The 18,463-nt window shown below is 49.2% G+C and overlaps 1 protein-coding gene across 5 annotated transcripts, besides 4 other annotated features; it reads left to right on the plus strand.

Moving 5' to 3' along the window:
- APOL1 (apolipoprotein L1) lies at positions 372–14,764 on the plus strand. 5 transcript variants are annotated; one of them, NM_145343.3, is made up of 7 exons: positions 372–458; positions 1,077–1,230; positions 2,176–2,238; positions 4,322–4,375; positions 4,558–4,646; positions 8,835–8,961; positions 12,390–14,764. In NM_145343.3, the coding sequence occupies exons 2-7, from the start codon at positions 1,202–1,204 to the stop codon at positions 13,270–13,272; spliced, it is 1,245 nt and encodes a 414-aa protein (NP_663318.1). In that variant the 5' UTR covers positions 372–458; positions 1,077–1,201; the 3' UTR covers positions 13,273–14,764. The 5 variants fall into 5 exon arrangements, with proteins under 5 accessions (NP_663318.1, NP_001130012.1, NP_003652.2 ...); NM_001136540.2 differs by lacking the exon at positions 1,077–1,230 and having other exon boundaries at positions 2,137–2,238; NM_003661.4 differs by lacking the exon at positions 1,077–1,230.
- Positions 425–484: an enhancer, noted in NCBI's record as "active region_18920". NCBI's record gives its function as "activates an Ori minimal core promoter by ATAC-STARR-seq in GM12878 lymphoblastoid cells {active_cell/tissue: GM12878}" and the evidence as "EXISTENCE:reporter gene assay evidence [ECO:0000049][PMID:35858748]".
- Positions 2,234–2,733: an enhancer, noted in NCBI's record as "H3K4me1 hESC enhancer chr22:36651041-36651540 (GRCh37/hg19 assembly coordinates)". NCBI's record gives its function as "activates a minimal SCP1, AML or CMV promoter by ChIP-STARR-seq in primed H9 embryonic stem cells {active_cell/tissue: H9 hESC(primed)}" and the evidence as "EXISTENCE:reporter gene assay evidence [ECO:0000049][PMID:30033119]".
- Positions 5,440–6,231: an enhancer, noted in NCBI's record as "H3K27ac-H3K4me1 hESC enhancer chr22:36654247-36655038 (GRCh37/hg19 assembly coordinates)". NCBI's record gives its function as "activates a minimal SCP1, AML or CMV promoter by ChIP-STARR-seq in primed H9 embryonic stem cells {active_cell/tissue: H9 hESC(primed)}" and the evidence as "EXISTENCE:reporter gene assay evidence [ECO:0000049][PMID:30033119]".
- Positions 6,052–6,141: a silencer, noted in NCBI's record as "silent region_13662". NCBI's record gives its function as "represses an Ori minimal core promoter by ATAC-STARR-seq in GM12878 lymphoblastoid cells {active_cell/tissue: GM12878}" and the evidence as "EXISTENCE:reporter gene assay evidence [ECO:0000049][PMID:35858748]".

Raw genomic sequence — 18,463 nt, forward strand, 5'->3', positions numbered from 1 at the left:
ATGTGTGGGAGACTGTGCTTATGCCGATGGCACGGGCAGGAGTAAGGCAGGCATCAGGGGAATGTGGATGCACGGGAGGATGGGGAGTAATCTGCAGGGTCCCATAGTATGTCAGTGGCAGGTCTTTCTCCTTGAGACCACAGCAGACCCCCAGCCCTGAGGATGCGAGGCAGGTGGGTTGGATGAGAGGGATCTGGATGTCTGGTCTCAGGCTGCTCCTCTAAGGGCAGCAGCAAGGAGGGTGGGGCTGGACTGAAGGTGGAGGGGAGCGTGTTTGCTGTGCTTGGTCATGAGCTGCTGGGAAGTTGTGACTTTCACTTTCCCTTTCGAATTCCTCGGTATATCTTGGGGACTGGAGGACCTGTCTGGTTATTATACAGACGCATAACTGGAGGTGGGATCCACACAGCTCAGAACAGCTGGATCTTGCTCAGTCTCTGCCAGGGGAAGATTCCTTGGTAAGTTGGGGACAGTTGACCTGCCTCCATCTTATTCTCACAGCTTTTGTAGATAAGCTGGGAGAGGTTAGGTGACTGGTTCAGATAGACAGGAAAGTAGCGGCAAAGCCTGGATTTGCACCCAGGCTTGAGTCTGATTGCTTCCCCTCTCCTGCTGGGCTCTTAAACTATAGAGGGTTGGGGAAACAGCTCAGATGGGTTCACAAAGCTCCCTGGGCTCAGCCCTGGTTTTGACTGCTGAGACACGACTGAGTGAACCCAGAAGGAAGGTTTGTGTTGGGGGTGCCCATCTCTTTGGGAAATTTGAAGGAACCAAAGAAGGTGGAGGAGAGGAGGTGACCCAGATCCCAGCCTGTTCTTATGGCCAGGCCACACCAAGGCTGGCCCCAGGGTGCTGCTGCTGAGGCCCAATGGGGGCAACAGAATTTTTTTTCAGGTACAAGGAGTTCAGAGGTCATCTCACCCACCCTGAGTCTGAGCACCAACTTGTGCCAGGCCCTGTGGGGAAACTGAGGCCCTGGGAGCGGAATGACTTGCCCAGGGTCCCGTGTCAGGAGGCTGAGCAGGTAGATCATAGGACTCCACGTCTCTGGCCCTCACCTCTGTCCCTCTGTTCAGACTTCTGGGGTGATGGAGAAGAAACAGGCTGTGCTGTGTCCCTAATGGGAAACGTGGCTGAGACAGGGGAGTGAGAAGGGTGCGTTGCAGAATGGTGCCTGTGGCATGATGCCAGCTTTGCAATCATGAGATTCAAAAGCCACACTGTGGAATTGTGAGTATAACTACAGGAGTGAGAGCTTAGATCTCTGTGTTCATAGAAGGAGAATCAAACCTGGAAACTTTTGGATTATTAAAATCAAACATTTTTGCTTCAATATTAGAGTCACAAGGGCAGATGTTGGCCTCCCCTCTGCCCTCCAAGAGCTGTGTGACTCTGGGAAATTCACCTCCCCTCCCAGCCTGAGTATTTTCCCCTGTAAAAAACCTGATAGAGCTGCCAAAAGTCCATGAAATCAGGGGGGTAATTTCTGTGAAATCTGAGTCATGGTCTTATTTGTTCTTCACCAAAAAGAGATGATGAAGCCTGTAACCCCAGTGCTGTGGGAGGCAGAGGCGGGAGGATGACTTGAGGCCAGGAGTTCAAGACAGCCTGGGAAACACAGGAGATGCTGTCTCTATGAAATCAAAAATTAACAAATTAGCCCAGCATGGTAGTGTGTACCTGTAGTCCCAGCTACTCAGAAGGTTGAAGGAGGCGGATCACTTGAGCCCAACAGATCTAGGCTGCAATGAGCTAGGATGGTGTCAAAGCCCTGCAGCCTGGGTGACAGAGCAAAACTGTTTATTAAAAACTAAACGAAAGGCCGGGCGCGGTGGCTCACGCCTGTAATCCCAGCACTTTGGGAGGCCAAGACAGGTGGTCACGAGGTCAGGATATCGAGACCATCCTGGCTAACATGGTGAAACCCTGTCTCTACTAAAAATACAAAAAAATTAGCCGGGTGTCGTGGCGGGCACCTGTAGTCCCAGCTACTCGGGAGGCTGAGGCAGGAGAATGGCGTGAACCCGGGAGGCAGAGCTTGTAGCGAGCCTAGATCGCCCCACTGCACTCCAGCCTGGGTGATAGAGCGAGACTCCATTTCAAAAAAAAAATGAAATGAAAATGGTGATTTCTCAGGAGGAGCACACTGTCTCAACCCCTCTTTTCCTGCTCAAGGAGGAGGCCCTGCAGCGACATGGAGGGAGCTGCTTTGCTGAGAGTCTCTGTCCTCTGCATCTGGTGAGCTTGGCTCAGAGCCCTGAGGCGGGAGGGAGGGCTCCCTGTCTGGGCTGCACAATTGGACTGGGCTTGGGCTGGGCCAGGGCCATCTGGGCTTCTTCTAGGAACCAAAGTCACTTCCCGGAATTGACCAACCGGCAGACTCGCCCAGGGAGGACCCGCTGTATCCTAGTTGAGGCTAACGGTCAATATCCGGCCTCAATATTCAGCAGAGGCTCCAGGTCAGGGTCTGAGCCAGGCCAACAATGACCAAGGAGGATGGGATCCAGGGTGCAGCTCCTCACAAGTGTCGGGGGAATCCGAGGCACCAGCTCTCTCTACCCTCCTGCTCCTCTGCTCTCTCCTGGTCCTCCTGTGTCCTCATGGCTCATGAGATGGTGTTGAGATGGCTCCCCTGGCCTAGGGGATCACACAGTGAACAAAGCAGGAAGAAGGCGAAGGGATGCCCCTCTCCTGTCACCCTTGTCCCTTACAGCAAGAAGGGCCCAGACGCCCCTCTGCATACTCCCCTGGTGAACTGCTGCCCAGGACTGGGTCCCCCTTTTACCCTTGCTGCATGGAGTCCCCAGAAGACAAACATCTGTGTGTCTGAACCCTGAGACAAAGGCAGGAAAGGGAAAGAGGGAGGCGAGTGGCTTTTGAGGAGGGGGCTTTAGTATGAGAGCTGGAGGATGGAACCCCATCAGGGGGCCCGGGAACCACTGAGCTGTTAAAATAAAGTCTGCAAACAAAGACCAGCTGCTGGAAGTGGGTGTGCCAGGGAGTGCGCAGAGACACACGGTGAGAAAAGAACAATGGTAATGCTTGGAGCCGCCCCTAACTGGGATGGGCCTGAAATGGTATTGTTATTATTTATAGTATCATTATTAGTCATTTTCATCTTATTTGTACCCTCCCTCTATCTCTCCTCTCCACCTTTTCCTAACATTCTATCACCAGTTTTATGTCTTCCATTAGCAACTTTGTAGCTGTAAATAATTTACTTACAACTTTCATATACCCTCAGTTGTACCCAGTATTTCTTAACTTCCCTCTTTAAAAAAATGATAATATTAATCCTCCTTCTCCTTCGTTCAGTGCTTCACATCCCAACTGCTACCTTTGTGCTTTAAATTTTGTACTAATTGGTGTTGATAACAAGTATATTTAGTTCTCATATTTATATGTTGTGTATATGTTTTGGTTTTTTTTTGTCTTAAACAAGAGACTACTGAGAGCCAGTAAGACTGAAAGAAAGGGCATCTTCATATACTGCTAGTTTGAGTGTGAATTGGTACAATTTGCCTGCAGTGTGGCTCTAGGTATAAAGCCTTTTGAGTTGTTGATAGCCTCTGACCTGCTCATTCTACTCCTACAAATATCTTAAGGAAATAATCTCAAATGTGGGCAAAGTTTTATGCGAAGAAGGATGTTCTTTGTAGCATAATTTATATGAGGAATTAGAAACACCCTGAGGTCCATCAGCTAGGGAAAGACAGCAGAGGGGACAGGGCAGCACCAGGAGGGCTTGGCAGCCACAGCAGGGGCTGGGCTGGCATCTGGCAAGATCCAGGTCTTTGTGGGACAAAGAATCTTAGAGAAGCAACGGGGACACAGGCTGTCCAGTGCAGCACCAGTGAATTCACCAAGATGAAGAGTTGAGCACAGAGTGTGAGACAAGGATTTGCAATGAGGAGTCATTTACCATGAGCGTGTATACATGACTCAATATTGTATATTTAAGGGAGTAGAGCACAGTCATTGAAAACATGGGGTTGAAGCAGAAGTCCTGGCTCTAGCACTATTGTAAAAACACTGGCAAGTTCCCTAACTTTTGTGGATTCCTCTGTGTTTGAATGGGAAAGTGGTACCCATCTCCTGGCCTGTGTGTGATCATCGAATGAGACACATGTAAGAGGCTCTGCACATCGCAGACATGCAATACACACTGGCTATCACCAGCTAGTTATCACACATGCTCCCAGGCCCTGGTCATTGTCAGAACCTTCCTCCCCATCTCTATTTCTGTGTATAGACTCTGTAGTTTCTGTAATGATCAGATGGCTGCCCGTCCTCTGATTATCTTCTCCTCATACCCCAACAGGATGAGTGCACTTTTCCTTGGTGTGGGAGTGAGGGCAGAGGAAGCTGGAGCGAGGTGAGTGTCTGCAAATAGCAGATGATGGGGGCTCAGTGATAGACAAACAATCTGGTTTAGGTTGGTCTTGGTGTTTGCTTCCACCCCAGAGAGATTTGCAGAGCCCCGGCTGCTCAAGCAAGCCTCCCTCTGTCCACTGGTGGCTCACATTTGATCCCACAATTTGTTTTCTCCTCCTCAAGGGTGCAACAAAACGTTCCAAGTGGGACAGATACTGGAGATCCTCAAAGTAAGCCCCTCGGTGACTGGGCTGCTGGCACCATGGACCCAGGTAGGCTCACCTCCTCTTCCCTGCTGGTTCCTACTCGCACTTAGAATGGAGGGTGGCACCTCCACAGCTGAGTGAGCCCCAGAAGAACCCGGATGGACTAGGAGGCCAATGAGTCTGCCCAAAGCAGCAGAAGAGGTCACGTGGAGTCCCCCGACCCAGGGGTCTGGGGGTCATCTGCATCCTGACCTCTCCTTAGGGTGACACGGCCCAGGTGCCCACTTCCTCCCTACCCTGGCACCTAGCAAATGACTCAAGTGGGGCAGGACATCCTTGGGGAAGTGGAATCAGCGGGGGGGGGGGGGAGTGTGGGGAGAGCAGGGTCCAGGAGGAGAGGAGGGCTGGGAGAGGAGGTTGACCAGCAGCCCCGACCTGTCACCTCCCGCTCTGCTCCAAGCTGACCCTGGGGTGTTTCCACCTGAGGCTGGTCCCCTCCCTCCAGCTCTTGCCCTGCCCTAGCCCCTTTGCTCTGAGTGGCCCTGTGGGAATGTATCGGGCCTGATTCAGCTTCCAGCTTAACTGGACCCCGGTCTGTCCTTTGCCACATCCCCTCTGTGTGACCTGGCGCTCCTTACCTCCCTTCTCCTGTACCATGAGAATAATATTTCCCCATGTTGTCTTGAGGATCAAATATAACACGGCTACCTGGCCTGGCCAGTGCCTGCCACACAATAGGGCCTCCCTAAGGGCTGGTTCCCATCCCCTCTACTGGTCCCCTGTTGATTCCAGGTGGAAGCCACCCCGTCCCCCCCCAGCTGTGTTAGGGCACCCGCCCTGCCCTGCCCATCACAAGCACCTGCTTACCAGGGATGACTGCCTCAGGCAGGGGCTGAGTTCAGTCATCTAAAATACCCCCGGTCAAAGAAAAATCTGAGGCCCAATAGAATTTTAAAGAGTTAATTGAGTAAGAAAGGATTGCTGAATTGGGAAACAGCAAACTGGAGGAGGCTTCGTGCTATGGTGAAAAAGTGTCGGAGACAAGGTTTATCGGGTGAATATGAAACTGCAGTAAGGACATTATTTGATTGGTTGCACTTACAAAACTGCCTGTTTGGGTTTACCTTGTTGGAAAATCCCTGGTCACGTTGGTGCCAGTGTGAGTTTAGGGAGGTCTCCGAATACAGGTGAGACCGGAACTTAGCCTTGCCCAGGTTTTTGATGCTGAAGAGAGAAAAAAGTCAAAGCAAAAGCAAATCAGCTTTTAGTGCAAAACAGAAGTGCAGGCTCAGGGGTGGGAGTGCAGGCGGACTCAGAAGAGCCAGTCGGGCCCAGTGGAGTTTGGGGTTCTTGTCTTTGCTGGTTTATTAAATTAAGGTGTGGAGTAAGCATAAGGATTTCTGGGAAGAGGTGGGGATTTCTTGGAATTGGGAGGGCAATGCAGTTTTGTACCAAACATGGGCATACATGGAACGGCTGTGGTGCGGGTGGGTGTGGGGTTTAGTGAGACAAGGAGGGTATGATTGAGTGTGAGGCAAAACGTGGGTCAGACCCAGCGCCGAGTTGGATCTCACTGGTCTTAGCTGAATTGGCCACTTCCTGTTTGTCAGGATCCTGTGGGCCCATCCCCTCCCCCTGTCCCTACAGGTGGTTTCAGCAACTCCTTCTGTGTCTGTCATGTGAACCTGCTGCCTGGAGTTCTTGTTTCTTCTGTGACCTCCCAGTATCCACATCTCAGCATGGCCCTCTGTCAGCTGGCTTTAAGTTTTGTTTGTATCTAACAGAAGTACCCATCTGATATGACCCCAGTTGAGTTTCCCATAGCTTGCAGTTTCAGGGGGTTACAGCTGTTCTAAAGGCCTCGTAGGTATTGCCTGTCCAGGAATGTTTCAGGGCTGGTTTTTGTTTTAATTTTGCTTTTATATCCACCAGCCCCACCACATCAAGAAATACACAGATTTAGTGCCAGAGGTTCCTTCCATCCAAACCTGGGTTTCCTTCCTCCTTTTGGTGAAGAAGGAAAAAGAAAAAACAAGACAATCGCTCGCCCAGCCAAGTCAGCATTGCGTTCATTTCCCTAAGCCCCATTTCCTCAGGAGGGCTTCCTCCCCTTACAGAGTTGCCACGGCAACCAAGTCAGCTCTGCTCAGGAGCCGCCCTGGACAGCAAACTGGGCTGTGCTGAGTCCTGTCCAAGACGAGGGGAGGGCAGGGAAGATTAGAAGCCGAGAGCACTCAGCCGACCCCGGAATCCTTACGAAGGGCTGGGCTGGGGGACTGAGGAAAAACTCTCCCCCCAAAACAAGATGATCTGTGGTTTAATAACAGGCCCAGCTGGGTCCAGAGGTGACAGTGGAGAGCCGTGTACCCTGAGACCAGCCTGCAGAGGACAGAGGCAACATGGAGGTGCCTCAAGGATCAGTGCTGAGGGTCCCGCCCCCATGCCCCGTCGAAGAACCCCCTCCACTGCCCATCTGAGAGTGCCCAAGACCAGCAGGAGGAATCTCCTTTGCATGGTAGTTGTACTCAATGCTGTGGAGTTTGAGACATTATTTTTAAACTTTAAATAGCCCCACAGGTAAGCTATAAGGGAGAATGCAGAGACCACAGGCATTTTCAAAACATAAGGAGTTTTAATGTTAAGGAGTTTAAGGAGAATGTCAAAGAAACATTGGCCTTGGAGTCAAATCCTGAGCTTCCTGCTTGATGGTTTTGGGCGGTGACTCTCGCTGTCTGGATTTTACTTTCTTCATCTGTGAATTAAGAATGAGGTGGCCGGGCACTGTGGCTCACGCCTGTAATCCCAACATTTGGGAGGCCGAGGCGGGCAGATCACAAGGTCAGGAGATCGAGACGATCCTGTCTAACACGATGAAACCCTGTCTCTACTAAAAATACAAAAAAAATTACCAGGCCTGGTGGCAGGCGCCTGTAGTCCCAGCTACTCAGGAGGCTGAGGCAGGAGAATGGCATGAACCCAGGAGGCAGAGCTTGCAGTGAGCCAAGATCGCACCACTGCACTCCAGCCTGGGTGAGAGAGCAAGACTCCATCCCCCCAAAAAAAAGAATGAGGTCTCTTGTGTGTGCACGGCAAGAAACAATTTTACATCATGCCTCAGTGCACACACAAATACATACTGGTCCCCAGTTCCTTATCTGCAATTCCATAATTCCCAGATCCCTGCAAACCACACGTTTTGGTGGCAGCTGACTTCAGGAGTAATCCTGCTCTGTACTGACTTGAGTTCTTTGTAGACCTACCATTATTTTTTACATTTAATGTGAATATTTGCTTGTTTCACTGTTGAAACATGTGTGGGTGTGATTACAGGGAGCAGTCCAGCCTCTGCTGGGAATGGTCAGGAATATACCATATGCACCCCGTGTCCTTTCTAAAATAGTGGAAATTCTGAATGCCTAAACACATCTGGATTCCAGGAATTTACATTAAGGGATATATATTTGAAATAACCCACAAAAACAATACTCACCCCTGCTACGCTTGGTACACTCTGATATTTTCAAATTGATTTTCTTTTTAAAATGCTGCTTTTGAACCAATAATTTCATAACCCAATGATGTGTTGATATTCACATTTTGAAGACACTGGTATAAAGTGTTTGACCCAACAGGCATGTGGCAGATGGAAGTGATCACTGGGATGTTTCCACTTCCTTGGCCTGGAAGGCTCACTTCATGTTGGTGCTGAGCTGAAAAGGATTCATTCCTCTCCAAAGCACCATGGCACTCCCCTGGTGTTTCAATGTTCTCAGGCTGCCATAGTAAAATATCACAGGCTGGGTGACTTCAACATCTGGCTTTTATTTTCTCACAGATCCAGAGGCAAGAAGTCCAAGGTGAAGGTGCCAAAAGGGTTGGAGTCTGGGGAGGACTCTCTTGCTGGCTTATGGAAGCTGCCTTTGCACTGTGTGCTCACACAGTCTTCTTGTGTCCCTTTCTGTTCTTACAATAGGACACTAGCCCTCTAATAGAATTAGAGCCCTACCCTTGTGATCTCATTCAGTCTTAATTGCTTCCTTAAAGGCCAGATCTCCAAATGTAGTCACCTGAGTTTAAAGCTTCAGCATATGAATTTTGGGGGCACACAATTCCCTCTATAGCACTAATGACTCCATAAAACAAGTCCCACATCACAGCTGTCCAGGAAAATTAACATGTAGTCATCTCTTATGCAATGGCTGTTATGCACTCCCACACTTTCCTCCAACCTTATCCTTTCTTCTTTCCAACTAGAGAGCAGTATCTTTATTGAGGATGCCATTAAGTATTTCAAGGAAAAAGTGAGCACACAGAATCTGCTACTCCTGCTGACTGATAATGAGGCCTGGAACGGATTCGTGGCTGCTGCTGAACTGCCCAGGTAAGCTCCATGGGGTTACCTCCATTGGGCACTCCGGCGATGCCACCCAGCTCTCCCCTGGGCTAGTTTTCCCTGACAGGCACACCTCCTCCAGGCAGCCCCCTCTGCTGGGCTTGAGGATGACCTTCTTGGCACTCCAGGAAGAATATTTCCTCCATGTCCTTCGCTGGCAGTGAGTAGCCTCAGGCTGAGGGGATAGGAAGCCCACAGGAACAGGGTCATTTCTGCCATCTGCTGGTGATGGGAACTTTGCCAGTTACTTTCTCACTTTCAGCCTTTCTTCATCAATGGAGTTTTATTGTGAGAAAAATGAGATCGTGCATGTAAAGTGCTTAGCATAATGACTGACACACAGTAGGTGCACAGTTAACGTTAACATCTTACAAGCTTGGTGGAAACAGAACCAGGGTTAAGGATCTTCTTCTTGAAGATGGGAGCCCAGCAGGACTTGACCTTTGGGACAAGTCAGAAAAATCCTGACCTAACCAATGTGTGTTCCTGGGGATGCTGGCTGGAGCCCTTTTTCTCATCTGAGGAATTCCATAAACACGGCAGGACCCTTCTGCTGGTCCAGGATGCCGAGAGGCTGGAGTGGAGTTGCACAGCGCTGGGTCTCTTTCCAGCTCTGTCTGTGTCCAGTCCCTGGGCTCTGGGCTTATGTCAGAGACTGGAAACTGTCATCAGTCTAATAGGAATAGCAACTCAATGTGATAGGAGTGTGGTGAAGGCCTTAGAGGCAACTCCAGGTCAAAGGTGGGGAACCAACACCAAGATCCTGCCCAAAGGCCCAGAGAGACCGGGATCAGCGTCAGAGCCTGGAGTCAGGATGGAGCAAGAGTCAGCCTTGGTTGTAGGACAAGCAGGAAGGCTGGGGCACCAGGGCTGGGACTAGGGTGTGGAAAGAGAGGCACCAAGGGCTTGAAACTTAAGGAGGTCATGAACTTGCAGAGGACATGTGAGTGGGAGAGGGATATTTCTTCCCTGTCTGGATGATCCCAACACTCATGGGCATATAGGGTCATGGTTGCCTGTGTCTCTCACACCACGCCTTGGAACTGGCAAGTTCTGGGCTACCCTTTGAGACCTTCTTCTCTTCTACACAGAGAAACCCCTGACATTGACAAGCAGTATGTCTTAGTGACCATTTTCATAGTAGAATTAGTTGCTGCCAATTTGTGTAATTTCAGGGATACTGAGCAGACTCACAACTTCCCAACCAAGGAGGAAAACACTTCCTCTACCATCTTGTCCAAATTCAGGTCTTTTCAGCATTAGCAATTTATATAGGTGGTTCTGAAAGTGTTTTGAATCTTCTAGAGGTTCCATAAAATTGCAAATGGCCTTGGTGTGCACACAGGTGAAGCTGTCACTACTAAGGCATCAGTTAGGCTGGTGACACCTGCGAGTGAGACCTGGAAGGTTGGGGGTGCAGGTGGTAGGTCAGGAGGCAGTAAGGTGGCTGGAGCGTCCATGTGGAGCCAGAATGAATAGCCAGATCTCCCACTCCAGTCAGCTGGGGCAGTGGCCAGAACCAGTAGCCTTCAGCCAGGTGAAAGGGCATGAGGCATTGGAAGGGAGCAGATGCCAGGCAAAGTGAACTCCTGTCTCTCCGGGGTTTTGTTTTTGTTTGAATTCAAAGTACTCAGAGATAGCCAGACTGCAATGTCTGAGGGCACCCTTACCTTTGACACCACCTGCAAATTTAAGGGGATTTCTAAATCCATCCTTTGATTTTGTAATTCACTGGAAGGACTCACATAACTCACTGAAAACTGCTATTTCACAATTGTGGTTGATCACACGGAAAGAACACAGATTAAAATCAGCCTAAGAAAGAGACACACGGGGCAGAGTTTGGGAGGGTTTTAAGTGTGAAGCTTCATTGTCCTCAGGACGCTGTGTTCTCCTGTGTGAATGTGGGACAAAACACATGCGGTGTTGCCAACCAGGGAAGCTCACCCAGTTAAGGAAAAATTCCTGTGAATCACATTAAACCAGAAATGAAGCCTTTTTTCAGGATTGTTGTTACAGGGGAGGGAGACTGAGCCCAGCTCCAAATATAGTAAAGACAGAGGGGGAGTCACAGCCAACACCAGGGTGGGGGCGGGAGATGGAACAGGACTGATAGGAGACACCAGAGTGGGGGGTTCCTGCTAAATTGGCCTAACAGGATTCTCACTAAAGGCAGGTCAGACACTCACCCATCAATGGTGGGGGTGAAGAGCATAATCAGATAGCAAAGCGTAATCAGACAGCAAGGGGGGAAGACCCTCCCTAAACTGACTTGGGGAGATTCTTGCTGAGCTGGGTGGTGCAGGTCCAGCAAGCAGTGGGTGGCTGTGGAAGGCCAAGGTCGGCGCCTAGTGGAGAAGAGGCTCAGAAGAGCCCAGCTGGAGTTGGTCAAGGAGAAAGTCCTTCTTTCTCAACCCATGCCTTAGTGTCCAGAGTATCTGCTGGGGCTGGATCACAAGCTGCCCTCATGGCTGACCTGGAGTCTCCAGCCCCTCCCTGAGGTCTAACCCCTTTAGTCCCCGGGTCCTCTGGGATCAGGAAAGACACCAAATAGCCCCAAACCCCATCATCCATCAGATTCCTATACGGTCCCGTGGCCAAATCACCAGGCAAAGACAGATGTTCCTACCAGGCAGGACATTCCAGGGGCCTGGAGATCACTTCCCAGGAGCTGAGGACAAAGGGAAGGCCTCTCTTTGGGTAAAGTTCATGCTTCACTTTCCTGCCATCCTGGGAATAAGGTCTCTTTGTCTCACTCTCACTGCTCTTTGTTCATCTGCAGAGTTTTCCCTCTCCAAACACTTTGGCAGTCACGGTGTTGACCTGCCCTTGAATGAGGAGGCATCTTTATCAAACACCTACCATGAAAGAGCATCTGAGATGCCTTTAAGATATTTATTTCCATATGGAATAAATATTGAGGAGTATCTATGATGAACAAAATGTGTTTGAGTTTGAAAGATAATTAATTCCATTTGTAAAATTTGTTTCTATTTGATCGATAGTGAAAGCTCTGCAATTTACACAGGATAGAGATCACATGGAGCTCATTTCACAGACAGGGAAACTGCATTTCTTTTTTTTTTTTTTTTTTTTGAGTTGGAGTCTTGCTCTGTCGCCCAAGCTGGAGTGCAGTGGCGCGATCTCGGCTCACTGCAAGCTCTGCCTCCCGGTTCAAGCAATTCTCCTGCCTCAGCCTCCTGAGTAGCTGGGACTACAGGCGCCCACCACCACGCCCGGCTAATTTTTTGAATTTTTGGTAGAGACAGGGTTTCACCGTATTAGTCAGGATGGTCTCAATCTCCTGACCTTGTGATCCACCCGCCTTGGCCTCCCAAAGTGCTGGGATTACAGGTGTGAGCCACCACACCGAGCCAAAACTGCATTTCTTAATCCTTTAACCTTTCCTTGTGCAGGAATGAGGCAGATGAGCTCCGTAAAGCTCTGGACAACCTTGCAAGACAAATGATCATGAAAGACAAAAACTGGCACGATAAAGGCCAGCAGTACAGAAACTGGTTTCTGAAAGAGTTTCCTCGGTTGAAAAGTGAGCTTGAGGATAACATAAGAAGGCTCCGTGCCCTTGCAGATGGGGTTCAGAAGGTCCACAAAGGCACCACCATCGCCAATGTGGTGTCTGGCTCTCTCAGCATTTCCTCTGGCATCCTGACCCTCGTCGGCATGGGTCTGGCACCCTTCACAGAGGGAGGCAGCCTTGTACTCTTGGAACCTGGGATGGAGTTGGGAATCACAGCCGCTTTGACCGGGATTACCAGCAGTACCATGGACTACGGAAAGAAGTGGTGGACACAAGCCCAAGCCCACGACCTGGTCATCAAAAGCCTTGACAAATTGAAGGAGGTGAGGGAGTTTTTGGGTGAGAACATATCCAACTTTCTTTCCTTAGCTGGCAATACTTACCAACTCACACGAGGCATTGGGAAGGACATCCGTGCCCTCAGACGAGCCAGAGCCAATCTTCAGTCAGTACCGCATGCCTCAGCCTCACGCCCCCGGGTCACTGAGCCAATCTCAGCTGAAAGCGGTGAACAGGTGGAGAGGGTTAATGAACCCAGCATCCTGGAAATGAGCAGAGGAGTCAAGCTCACGGATGTGGCCCCTGTAAGCTTCTTTCTTGTGCTGGATGTAGTCTACCTCGTGTACGAATCAAAGCACTTACATGAGGGGGCAAAGTCAGAGACAGCTGAGGAGCTGAAGAAGGTGGCTCAGGAGCTGGAGGAGAAGCTAAACATTCTCAACAATAATTATAAGATTCTGCAGGCGGACCAAGAACTGTGACCACAGGGCAGGGCAGCCACCAGGAGAGATATGCCTGGCAGGGGCCAGGACAAAATGCAAACTTTTTTTTTTTTCTGAGACAGAGTCTTGCTCTGTCGCCAAGTTGGAGTGCAATGGTGCGATCTCAGCTCACTGCAAGCTCTGCCTCCCGTGTTCAAGCGATTCTCCTGCCTTGGCCTCCCAAGTAGCTGGGACTACAGGCGCCTACCACCATGCCCAGCTAATTTTTGTATTTTTAATAGAGATGGGGTTTCACCATGTTGGCCAGGATGGTCTCGATCTCCTGACCTCTTGATCTGCCCACCTTGGCCTCCCAAAGTGCTGGGATTACAGGCGTGAGCCATCGCTTTTGACCCAAATGCAAACATTTTATTAGGGGGATAAAGAGGGTGAGGTAAAGTTTATGGAACTGAGTGTTAGGGACTTTGGCATTTCCATAGCTGAGCACAGCAGGGGAGGGGTTAATGCAGATGGCAGTGCAGCAAGGAGAAGGCAGGAACATTGGAGCCTGCAATAAGGGAAAAATGGGAACTGGAGAGTGTGGGGAATGGGAAGAAGCAGTTTACTTTAGACTAAAGAATATATTGGGGGGCCGGGTGTAGTGGCTCATGCCTGTAATCCGAGCACTTTGGGAGGCCAAGGCGGGCGGATCACGAGGTCAGGAGATCGAGACCATCCTGGCTAACACAGTGAAACCCCGTCTCTACTAAAAATACAAAAAATTAGCCGGGCATGGTGGCGGGCGCCTGTAGTTCCAGCTAACTGGGCGGCTGAGGCAGGAGAATGGCGTGAACCTGGGAGGTGGAGCTTGCAGTGAGCCGAGATATCGCCACTGCACTCCAGCCTGGGTGACAGAGCGAGACTCCATCTCAAAAAAAAAAAAAAAAAGAATATATTGACGGAAGAATAGAGAGGAGGCTTGAAGGAACCAGCAATGAGAAGGCCAGGAAAAGAAAGAGCTGAAAATGGAGAAAGCCCAAGAGTTAGAACAGTTGGATACAGGAGAAGAAACAGCGGCTCCACTACAGACCCAGCCCCAGGTTCAATGTCCTCCGAAGAATGAAGTCTTTCCCTGGTGATGGTCCCCTGCCCTGTCTTTCCAGCATCCACTCTCCCTTGTCCTCCTGGGGGCATATCTCAGTCAGGCAGCGGCTTCCTGATGATGGTCATTGGGGTGGTTGTCATGTGATGGGTCCCCTCCAGGTTACTAAAGGGTGCATGTCCCCTGCTTGAACACTGAAGGGCAGGTGGTGGGCCATGGCCATGGTCCCCAGCTGAGGAGCAGGTGTCCCTGAGAACCCAAACTTCCCAGAGAGTATGTGAGAACCAACCAATGAAAACAGTCCCATCGCTCTTACCCGGTAAGTAAACAGTCAGAAAATTAGCATGAAAGCAGTTTAGCATTGGGAGGAAGCTCAGATCTCTAGAGCTGTCTTGTCGCCGCCCAGGATTGACCTGTGTGTAAGTCCCAATAAACTCACCTACTCATCAAGCTGGACTTGTTCGAGTCATTCTTTGGTCTCTCAGCTCTTTCCAAGCTTTGGGGGCCATCAGTCTCAAGTTTTTCTCGTAATGGTGGTGATGGTGGTTGTGATGGCAGCAGAGTGGTGGGGGCCTTGGCAAGTGGTCGGTGCTCTTCCAGACCAGGGGACACCGATGGACCGATGAAGTTCCAGGGGAACTTGAAGTGCTGTGTTGGAAAGAGGTTAATTTGGGAAGAAAGGAAAAATGAAAGGAGATGCCAGGAACAGGTCAAGGAACCTTGAGGTGTGTCCAGGAGTTCAACCCCGCTTGTGGTCACGAGACCTCGCCTCTCTGAGCCTCAGTTTCCTCATCAGCTGTAGAAGGGTACCTGGACAAGGTGATGTCTCAGGTCCACCCAGCTCTCCCCATCTTGTGTCCTGGAGACTTGGGTCCAATCAGCACTGACTGATGGCTGTGCCTTTGTGGTGCCGATGGAGGCTCCCCTGGGCTCTGGGTGCCTGACTTCCCTTCCTCATGATCCTTCTTCCAGGGTCTCGGGAAACGAGGCTTCCATGGCCCCTCCTGCTTGCTCACTGGACTCTCACTTTCCCAGCTGGTCATTTCCCTGAGACCTCAAAACCCCACCAACCCCACTGGGGCACCCACAGAAAGCTTGTACATGTCTGGCTCTGGCTGAGCACAGGTGTGGTTTCCATCTGCGAGTCAGAGCCCGGGATTGACATGGGACGCTCGAGGCTGACTAGTGTCAGAGGGGCCTGTGTGCAGATTGGGAGAAGATTATCGAGTAATAGAGGGGCAAAGAGGGACATCCAGACAGCAAACACCCCCATCCAGTCTGTCCTCACGTTTTGCCCAGACTCCTGCAAGAACTTCCAGAATGGTCTTCCATGTGCAACTGCCCGTCCCTGCCCATGTCCTGGATCATTCTCCACACTGCGCCAGGTTGGGCTTTAACAAGATCATGTTTTGGGTTTTTGGGGGTTTTTTGTTTGTTTGTTTGGTCTCACTCTGTTGTGAGGCTGGCGTCCCGTGGCATGAGCATGGCTCACTGCATCTTGGACCTCCCGGCCTCAAACTACCCTTCCACCTTGACCCCCTGAGTAGCTGGGACCATCCGTGTGTGCCACATTGCCCAGGCTGGTCTCAAACTCCTGAGTTCAGGTGATCTGTTCGCCTTGGCATTCCAATGGGCTGCAATTACAGACACGAGCCACCGTGCCCACCTAAGAACATAGATTTGATCGAGCACCCACTTCTGACCATTCAATGGCTTCCCATTACTCTTAGCACAAAGATGTAGGCCATGATGCTGCCTAAAGTAGCCTGTTGCGGCCTGGGGTCCTGTGAAGGAAGAGCCAGAGGCAACGTTCTGGTGCAGAGGGTTTCTAGGAAGTGATTCTAGGAGCAGAACTGAGGATCCAGGAGGGAAGGAGGAAACGTTGATACAAGAAGTTTTTGAATGGGCCATCCATATGGGCAATGAGACCTTCTGAGGTGCCTTCAAGGAGCGTCCTCAGAATCTTTGTTTCCAGGGAGGAGACATGGAGGCCTTTATCCACTGCTTTAGCTGTGTCCCAGGGGTTCTGGTACATTGTGTCTTTGTTCTCATTGGTTTCAAAGAACTTCTTGATTTCTGCCTTAATTTTGTTATTTACCCAGTAATCATTCAGGAACACGTTGTTCAATTTCCATGTAGTTGTGCGGTTTTTAGTGAGTTTCTTAATCCTGAGTTCTAATTTGATTGCACTGTGGTCTGAGACACTGTTTGTTATGATTTCCATTCTTTTGCATTTGCTGAGGAATGTTTTACTTCCAATTATGTGGTCGACTTTAGAATAAGTGTTATACGGTGCTGAGAAGAAAGTATATTCTGTTGATTTGGGACGGAGAGTTCTGTAGATGTCTGTTAGGTCCACTCAGTCCAGGGCTGAGTTCAAGTCCTGAACATCCTTGTTAATTTTCTGTCTCGTTGACCTGTCTAATATTGACAGTGGGGTGTTAAAGTCTCCCACTGCTATTGTGTGGGAGTCTAAGTCTCTTTGTAGGTCTCTAAGAACTTGTTTTATGAATCTGCGTGCTCCCGTATTGGGTGCATATATATTTAGGATAGTTAGCTCTTCTTGTTGCACTGATGTTTGTTGGTTTAAAAGATCTTTTTTGATCTTTGTTGGTTTAAAGTCTGTTTTATCAGAGACTAGGATTGCAACCCCTGCTTTTTTGTTTGTTTGTTTGTTTGTTTGTTTTGCTTTCCATTTGCTTGGTAAATGTTCCTCCATCCCTTTATTTTCAGCCTATGTGTGTTTTTGCACATGAGATGGGTCTCCTGAATACAGTACATCAACGGGTCTTGACTTTATCCAATTTGCCAGTCTGTCTGTTTTAATTGGGGCATTTAGCCCATTTACATTTAAGGTTCATATTGTTATGTGTGAATTTGATCCTGTCATCATGATGCTAGCTGATTATTTTGCACATTAGTTGATGCAGTTTCTTCATGGTATCATTGGTCTTTATATTTTGGTGTGGTTTTGCAGTGTCTGGTACTGGTTTTTCCTTTCCATATTTAGTGCTTCCTTCAGGAGCTCATGTAAGGCCGGCCTGGTGGTGACAAAATCCCTCAGCATTTGCTTGTCTGGAAAGGATTTTATTTCTCCTTTGCTTATGAAGCTTAGTTTGGCTGGATATGAAATTCTGGGTTGAAAATTCTTTTCTTTAAGAATGTTGAATATTGGTCCCCACTCTCTTCCAGCTTATATAGGGTTTCTGCAGAGAGATCCACTGTTAGTCTGATGGGCTTCCCTTCGTAGGTAACGTGATCTTTCTCTCTGGCTGCCCTTAACATTTTTTCCTTCGTTTCAACCTTGGAGAATCTGATGATTATGTGTCTTGGGGTTGCTCTTCTTGAAGAGTATCTTAGTGGTGTTCTCTGTATTTCCTGAATTTGAATGTTGGCCTGGCTTGCTGGTTGGGGAAGTTCTCCTGGATAATATCCTAAAGTGTGTTTTCCAGCTTGTTTCCGTTCTCCCCATCACTTTCAGGTACACCAATCAATTGTAGGTTTAATCTTTTCACATAGTCCCATATTTCTTGGAGGCTTTATTTGTTCCATTGTCATTCTTTTTTCTCTAATTTTGTCTTCACACATTGTTTCAGTAAGTTGATCTTCAATCTTTGATATTCCGCTTGATCAATTTGGCTATTGATAGTTGTGTATCCTTCACGAAGTTCTCATGCTGTGTTTTTCAGCTCCATCAGGTCATTTACGTTCTTCTCTAAACTGGTTATTCTAGTTAGCAGCTCCTGTAACCTTTCATCAAGGTTCTTAGCTTCCTTGCATTGGGTTACAACATGCTCCTTTAGCTCAGAGGAGTTTCTCATTACCCATCTTCTGAAGCCTACTTCTGTCAATTCGTCAAATTCATTCTCCATCCAGTTTTGTGCCCTTGCTGGAGAGGAGTTGCAATCATTTGGAGAAGAGACATTCTGGTCTTTGGAATTTTCAGCGTTTTTGTGCTGGTTTTTCCTTATCTTCATGAATTTATCTTTGATCTTTGAGGATGATGACCTTCGGATGGGCTTTTGGGGGAGGGGAGGTCCTTTTAGTTGATCTTGATGTTATTGCTTTCTGTTTGTTAGTTTTTCATCTAATAATCAGGCCCCTCTGCTGCAGGTCTGCTGCAGTTTGCTGGAGGTTCACTCCAGACCT

Source organism: Homo sapiens, chromosome 22 (assembly GCF_000001405.40).
Source record: "Homo sapiens chromosome 22, GRCh38.p14 Primary Assembly".
In the NCBI taxonomy this organism is placed as follows: domain Eukaryota; kingdom Metazoa; phylum Chordata; class Mammalia; order Primates; family Hominidae; genus Homo; species Homo sapiens.